Source organism: Homo sapiens, chromosome 4, assembly GCF_000001405.40.
Source record: "Homo sapiens chromosome 4, GRCh38.p14 Primary Assembly".
Lineage (NCBI taxonomy): Eukaryota > Metazoa > Chordata > Mammalia > Primates > Hominidae > Homo > Homo sapiens.
Genome location: NC_000004.12, coordinates 111,500,388 through 111,509,242, shown reverse-complemented (window position 1 = coordinate 111,509,242; position 8,855 = coordinate 111,500,388). Strand labels below are relative to the sequence as shown.

The 8,855-nt window shown below is 37.0% G+C and overlaps 1 annotated feature.

Annotated features, from left to right (window-relative positions):
* Positions 7,494-8,597: an enhancer, noted in NCBI's record as "VISTA enhancer hs559". NCBI's record gives its function as "enhancer in: midbrain (mesencephalon)[3/5]" and the evidence as "EXISTENCE:transgenic organism evidence [ECO:0001131][PMID:17130149]".

The following is an 8,855-nucleotide window of genomic DNA, read 5'->3' as shown; positions in this document are numbered from 1 at the left end:
TAGCATTTTTATAGTGAACAAAAGTCCATTTGTATCATATCATCATTTTGGAAAACTAATCTTGTTTGAATTTACAAATTCCTTTTTGTAATCCTTCCTCTTGATTTTTATTCCATTAATTATTGAGTCATTTGACTTTATTTAGTCACCTTATTATCCAAGTACACTATATCCAAAGGACCTAGAATTCTTTACATACTAACAATATCTTTTGCCATGAGTGCCTCAATCTGTGACCTGACCAGTGATCTTGGAAGCATAAGGGATAAAAAAGAGAGCATCCTTGATTAAATCAATCATTTAATCAACAAGTATTAAGAGCTGTGAGGGAGATAAAAAAAACACAGAAGATAATTATCTCTGCTATCAAAGAGCTTACAGTCTTGTTAGAAATGTAATATGTGCAAGAGGCAATTAGAGAGTAAGACAGTATCTAATGAAGTGTTTAATCGGGGTGGGGGTGCAGCATCAGCTTCTATTCTTGTGAACTGAAGGGTTAGTCAAGATGGACTCTTAGATCCCTTTCAGAAGTATGATCTCTATAAAAGTGGCATGAGTAGACTACTATGAAGGTTAGGCCTTAAAGAAGTAATTTATCTCTTTGCCAACTGTGTTTATTTTTTCCATTTCACTCATATCTCTGAATATTGAAGAAGTCTTCTCTTTATAAGATCCTAAGAAGTGCAATTTAATTGATCATACTTCTTGCCCATAAATCTAAACTTTCTTTAGCCAACAAATGTTATCAACTAAAATAGAATAAGCCACTAAAAATACCAGTGCCTAAAATTTTTAAACTACTTTTGCAGAAAGTAGACATACACCTTTTCAATGAAAGCAAATATTCTAAAATACTAAAAACAATGACTGCTATGCATCCATGTATCAAACTCCACTTGTATACCTTAAATTTACTCAAAAAAACCCAGCAATGCCTGGGTGGGTTTGAAGCTCATCAGCGTTAGAAAACAAGAGGCTACTCATGTCATGCAGAGATAAAGCAGTTACTAAAATTATCATCTGAGACCACCCAGAAAGAAGTGTACACTGAAGGCAAGGCATACGACATGACTCCTTCAGTGGACCATTATGGAAATAATGGGGAATACAGAAACTGGTGTAGAGTAGCTGCTTCTAAATATTCTTGTGAGTTTTTAAAAGAAATGAATATTTAGAGTTATAAATTATCACATCAAAATGACCTCAGATGACCAGGATCATCCATGGACTTCCTAAAACAATCATCACTTTATCAACTCTAACTGAAATTGCCTAAATAGATGATGACCAAGTCTGACTCTGAGTGCTGAATTACAACATAGGTTATGCTCTGAACCTCTCCAAGATTCTTGTAAATTTGGGAGTGTTTATTGGGAAAGAGTGACCCCAAGATTAGAAGAATATTACAAGGATTCAGGTAATTGTGAGTATTCCACACCACAACCCAGCCACAAGGCCAGTCTTTGTCTGAATACCTGGCAAATGCCTCACCTGATGAAAAAAGTTTTTCTGAAATATTTTTCAAGGTCTCTGGACTTGAAAAATTGTGGCTGAATCTGATGGAGAGGGATAAGTAAGGTGGGGCAAAAGCAGAAGGTCAACTCTTGAAGGCCCCCTCCTACTTCTGGGTCATCAGTTTTTTAGCTCCTACCCCAGGTCTGTGTGTACTAATGTGGTCATTAGATAACTGCCCCTCCCCGTGCTCAGCAATGGATGATTACACATTTAGTGATGTGTTAGCCCCACTGTCAACAACTGACCCAGAAATTGTTTCTTTACTGAAGCACATCAAACCAATTTCTGGCACCAGGCATGTTAATTTATCTAGTAAATGTAGTTTTTCTGTTCCAAGAAACAGGACTCCAGAGGTAATTTGTTTTTATCTTTCAGTGATGGTAGTAAAACTCCACTGTATTACTTTATTATGTTATTTATCTGGTTTAATTTGTTCTGCAGGAACCTCACTCAATTCACCATTACATGGGATGTCATGTGGGCCCAATTTATTGAGGTCAGTATGCAGGACATAACTATGATCTACATGTGTAGGTAAGATACATGCATGCAAGAGGGTGAGAATTGCGCCCCACAGTAATTTAATGATGATTATAGAGATCCAATCGTGTGCAGCATGCAAGGTAATCACCTCTAAAGTTAAGGAAAACTTGCAAGCCATGTCAACTAACGTCAAAAAAAGTCATAATGCTTGTGGGTTCCTATAGACTGAGAGGCAACTTAAATCATACTTGTGAGTCTTTTTGTGACTCATTTACTGAGGATCCCTTAAGACTGCCAACTTCGGGCTGAGCCTCACAGAAAGAAAATACTCTCCAGCTGGTCTAGGTTTCTGTAGAAGTAGCTTTGTAACTTGGGCCCAGTGGATATAAAGGTTCTTAAAGATTAGAAAAACATTAGAATACTCTGACAATGCTGGGTAGCAGAATCACAGCCTAGGCCATTATAGGTCTGGAGTAAAGATTTCTGTGATAATTACTGTCTTGGCATGCTACTGGAATATTTTGACCATGATACACCAATAACCAAGTGTCATGGGCTACCTATCATAAAACAATGTTCTTATAAAAAAGCCATCAAGTTAGAAGTATGTAGCAATATTCCATCATCAAGTTGAAGTTGTTTTTGTAAGATCAATCTGGAGCACTTTTTAAAATCACAAATAAGATAATTGAGAAGGTGTCTTCTACTCACATTGTACCTATTTTTTCCCCATTGCCATCCTTTCCTTCATTTATACCTATGGCCTCATAGAGAATTCCCATAAAACCAATCTGCTGGTTTACAGATCATTGAGCATGATATGCTTTCCAGATAGAAGTGGATAATTTCAGCATTATGGCTGTGTTCAGAAGTGGGCTTGAAGTGCAACTCTTACTAGTAGGCAGAACCTTGAGCTACAGTTTTCTAGAAGAATACATAGGCAGAATAAGGACTCCTCACTGGCCAATGCTTTGACCAGGTGAACAGGTAGAAGACTGGTGACAAGAAAAGTGCAAGGGCATTTTTTTTTCTATTGGCAACTTTTTTTTTATATACTTTAAGTTTTAGGGTACATGTGCACAACATGCATTCTTAATTAGATTTCCGCTATAAATCATGTGCAGGGAAGAGACTGTCTTCATCCTAGGATTCTTCTGGTGTGCCAGCTAGTGTTACCATGCCTATGGAGGACTACACATCACTCCACATAGGCAAGTGTATTGTGTTACTCTGCTGTCTAAAAAACAGTGATATGCTAGGGGTTCTGACTGAGAAAAAAAGGGAATTTGGATTGCTGTAAAAGGAAGAAATTTGCTATATCCTGACTCTGACTTCATTGCCATTTACACAAATGACTATGGTTTGTATCCATGTTGTATATATTTATGCAGAAAAAAACCCATATGATAATATCCCCTCAAATAAAAGCATTTCACACATACCAAGATTGGCTATGACTCCCATCTTTCATTCAGTCCCTGTTTTCAAATGGTGTGGATATAGTTTTTTCTTCTGTGTGTGTTGTAGAGGAATGAGATACAAGAGGTGCAGCCTAGCAAATATGCAAAAAGCAACTTCAACTTAGTAAGCCTGTGGGTAGAAAGTGGATCCCTCCATCCTTGGCATTCTGGCCCTCTCCTGGCCCAACCTTCCTATATTAGGGTGACTGGAATCACTGCTCATCCTAAAAGTCACAGTCAGGGCCATGACACAAAATTCTCTCTGTTGATATTTAAGCCCAAACAGATAGAAATTCACTACCAGGTAGTCCCAAACCACAGTGGGGCCAGAATATATTTGGCTTGCACAATTGGATCACTAGCTAGCTTGCAGTACTGGCTCACTCCAGTGAATTCATTAATTTCACCTGGATCCACATGTCATGTGACTGGGTTTTTTTTGAGTTCCCCTCATTCCTCCTGTCTCCACCCCTTTTATATCATATATGATGATTGTTGTTAAATATATTATGTAGTCCATGGGTTTTAAGATAATAATAAAGGACTCTGATCAGTTAGAAAAGAATAAAATGATCAGAAATAAATGCAGTAATGGATAGGCTTTGTTTTCACCCTTGAGGGGGTAAGTGAATTTTTTTTTCCTATTCACCATAGTTTTATGATAGGTATGACAATGTTTTTCTCCTTGTTACTAAGATTACGTTTAATAAGATGTGTGTATACAGATATGAGGAGTCAAAAGGATGAACTATGTATCTCTCTTTTCTTGAAGAGGCCAAAGAGCTAAAAGCCATATTCCCAGGCTCCTTTCATGGTACACACTGGATATGACTAGGTTCTGCCATTCCAATGCAATCACATGAGACTGGAAGCCAAAGTGAGACAGATAGCATCCTTCTGAGATATCTTTTGTCTTTGCTGGAGACACTGTCAGAAAGGCCTTTGATTTCTCTTCTAAACGTGAGTGTTGTACTAGTGTCTAGTAAACTTGGTAGGTATTGAGAAGCAGGGCACAGGGAAGCCACTGGTAGGTGTATTAGGCTGTTATTGCATTCCTATAAATACCTGAAACTGGGTAGTTTATAAAGAAAAGAGGTTTAATTAGCTGATGTTTCTGCAGGATGTACAGGAAGCATAGTGGCTTCTGTTCCTGTGGAGGCCTCAGGAAACATGCTATCATGGTGGAAGGCAAAGGGGGAGCAAAGTGTCTCACATGGTGGGAGCAGGAGCAAGAGAGAGAGGAGGGAGGTGCTACACACTTTTAAACAACCAGATGTTGCCAGAACTCACCCACTATCATGAGAGCAGCACCAATGGGATGGTGCTAAACCACTCATGAAGGATCCACGCCCGTGATCCAATCACTTTCCACTAGGTCTCACTTCTAACACTGGGGATTACAATTCGACATAAGATTTGGGTGGGGACATATATCCAAAACATATCGGTGGAGTGAATTTTATTAGGCATTGGATCGTTCTGGAACAGGTAAAGTTAGCAGTTCACTTATTCAGTGAACTCAACAAATATTGATTGAGCACCTGCCATATGCCAGACACTCTTCAAGGTCCTTGGGATATATCAATGAACAAAACACATCATGATCTCTCCCCATGTGGGGCTTACATGCCAACAGTGGTTTCCTGGTCTGGTGGCTTATGCATTATGTCCCTAATTGGAGCAGCAACTATACATTATTGGCCAGGTTTTCCTGATTGTAGAAGAAATAGTAGTTCCCTTGTGGTCTGGCTCTGTAGTATGACTTTGGGAGTAATTTCTGAAAGCCCAAATGAGAGCCTTTTTCAGCCCTCCCAAAGATAAGTTAAACAGCACCCTGTTTTAAATTTCATTCTGCTTAAATTATTTAGAGATAATTATGTTGTCAGCAAAGGGACACTGACCAATGAAAAATATCTTCTTAAAGTACTCATTCATTTTCACTTCAACCACACTGAAAATCTGAGACATTCTTTAATGTCTGCCCAGCTGAAATGACACCTCTGGGTCTCTGACCTTTTCTTATTACCCACACAGTTAATTGCTACCTCCTCTGAGTGCTATAGAATTTGCCTCTTATAGGGCTTATCAAACTGGGTGACTTAGTCGACTCTCCTGCTCTCTTACTGTTGTGCACAGAAACACACAGGACCGGGACTTGGTCTTATTAACCTGTATGCCTCTGAGTCCTAACAGTAAAAAATTATGGTCACCAATATTTTACTTACTTACATATTAATAAATAAGTCACAAATTTCCTTATTTCAAAAGTATTTTCCCCTTGCATTTACACTCTTCGGTTCCCTATATCATTTACTGGTATATTTTAAAGCATTTTATGTGAAATTGTCATTGAATTTTAGGTTTAGGAATAATGTCAGAAATTAGATAGTACAAACTCTTTTTCCAGGTCAGGCATTTCAGGTCAGAATGATTTGGCTTCTTGTTTCAAGTTCAGTGTTTTTTGCTTTATTTTATATTTACTGCTTGACCTTGGATTAGTTTGTAATTTCAGTGAAAATATGTATTGTCTTTAAAATCTATCAGGGCTCCTCATGCTGTTCAGACGAGAGGGTAATTGACAACTGAAGCGCTTCCTTATACTTCCACCAAAAATGAATGTATGGAGACGTGTCATGCAAAAGTGGGGCATTCTCCATTCAGAGCAAGTGCTTTTGTCAACAAATAGGTTCATGGAGAGACACTAGATAAGCTGTCAAATATTTGATTCTGATTCCATAAATTATATATCAGTCTCTTCTGCATTATAACTTTCCTCTGTGAAGTACAAAATGATACTAAACTATGAATGTATGTGGTTTTATTTACAAAATTGGAGTGCAAACCAGTTAGGTCATCGATGTATTAAAAGAGTGTTTTTTGTACAGCTTTTTCCCTTCAGAACTTAACCTATTTTATTGCAAGTATATTGTTCCATCTCTCTCCCGGGGGACTGTGGACTCCATGAGAGCAAGCCTCATGTCTTCATGCTAGTAGATTCAATTCCTAAGAAAATGCTTGGCTGAGGGCTACAGGATTTATGTTTGCTCAGTGAATTTTTTTTAAACAGAAATAGGTCATCTGTAAGATAATAAGCCACAAACTTTCCCAAATTGAATGAAGTGAAACCAACTTATTTTATTTTCTTAGACTAAGAGTTTCTTTTGAATATTTTTTTGTAGAAATTGGTAGGAGCTTACCTCTTGTTCATGGATCATCCACTTAACTTTAGCAAGTTTCTGGAATCTTTATGATAATTCAAGGAAGAAGAAAGTTTTGTTTGCTCTACATATTTATTTTTTATTTATTTATTTATTTATTTATTTTTTTTACAAAAGCTGTTCAATTCTTCTTCCAAAATTGCTCCATACGACATAAAGTATTTAGAGCACAGGCAGGCATGTTAGCACTTTGAAATGACCCCAATTAACAAACTTGACAATTGCTTCCACAAATGTAGTCAAAAGTGGAAAAGGTCCATTTTTAAGTGGTACTTCTGAGAAGTGCGAACTCATAATGGAAAACATACTCACATAATCACTTATGAACGAATCATCTTGAAAATTAGTCCTACACAAGTTAGATATAAAACACTGTGGTTTTTACAGAGCACACACATGTGAACTCTAGAGTGTAATATGATTCAGCTCCATGTTGACAGCTGTGGTTGATGAGCAGGTGCTGTGGATGAAGACCAATGAATAAGAGATACAGTTGTTCAGGAGCCTCTGCATCAAATGAAGTTCAGACACAATGATTCCTATATACTTTAGAACCAAAAGAATGAACTGTAATGATATTTCCTGATCAAAATTCAAAGACATTGCAAACCAAAGTGACATAATGAAAGACAAATTTAGTACTTAGATATTTAGCTCACTTAATCTTTTTGCCATATTTCTCAAGTGAGTTGGAGAGTAGATAGTAGGCCATTTTTGGATGAATTTTATATATCCCAGGGAATAATACAACTTTTCATGTCTCAGACTAGCAAAAGCAAAATGAATAAGAATTTTTTTTCCTCTCTAGAACCTCACTGGGTTACAAATCTGTGTTGACCATAAATCAGAGCCTCCCTATCTTTTAATGCTGTCATTGGAGAACTCGGTTCTATAAGCAATTAAAGTGTTAACTTGGTTCATTAATGCAGGGAATATTCACGATTTTCCACCTTGGAAGAGACAGATTCTGTCCTCCCTTTAATAGAACTCTGCTGGAAATCAAACACAATTTTTATTCTGGGGAATGATTACTGTGTCTTGTTTAATTCTCCCTAACAAATGTCAGCACTAATGTATTACAGATTATTCAGTCAATTTGATGGTTCCAGGTGAAAGAAAGGAACACAAATCTCTTCTTTTAGTGTAAAAAGGGTCAGCCGGATGACTTCCCCTGCAGGAGCCGAGATGAGGCTTGACATGAATCAATCAAGAAGGCTCAATTTTACAGTTATAGTGCCTAATGCCTAAACATGAGCGTACTGGTGGAAATTAGCACCCGATTATGAGCATACATGATCTTCCCCTGGAAGACAATAATATTGGCATTAAGCTTCTCAAGAGGGAAGATGCTGCTGGTTTTTAATATGTCTTAAATTATGTCAGGAAAAACACTGGAACATCACACAAAAGCCACAGTCAGTGTCTATTGCTATCTCATAAAGCTGGAGATCTTTACAACAATATTGACACAAGAGCAGGCAAGCAAATGTCAGCCAATATAACATATGAAATACTTAACGTAACCAATTTTCACCTGTCAATCAGCAGGGAATAATGACTGATGCAAGGAATCAATACGCCACAATTGAATTCCAGCTCACAAACTTGTTTCGTTCTGTGCTATAAAAGACTGTCAAATGTCACACCCCAAGAGATGCAACAGGATTCCAAAGATTTATTTATTTCAAGCTCTGAAGTCTATTAGCAATAGTGCTCCTTTGCTATTGGAAATAGAGCTTCAATGACATTAAATTTTCAGAAATGACAACTCTCTTTTCTGACAAATTAATGATAGAACGTCCTTAGTCCCATATTTATTTATTTTGCAAACATTAAGTACAATTATATTCAACCAATTCTCGAGATTTCAGAAAGCAAATATTTGACAGAATTTGTCAAGTAAACTGCTCACAGTGCCAAATATTTCGTTAAACAAGTTGTCCTATACATGGTAAATAAATGAAAATTGCATGTAACAAATCTTAAGCTTATGTTAAATCCAAACCTTAACATTATGCAGATGCTTGATAGCAAATTAGATTTATAAAATTTTGTCCTCTTCACATAATAATACGCAACACTACTCTTTGTACAGTATGATGAACTTTTAGAACAAAATGGATCTGTAAAAACGTTTGTGCTATCTAGAACAAAAGAAACTTATTTTATCTTTTCTCAT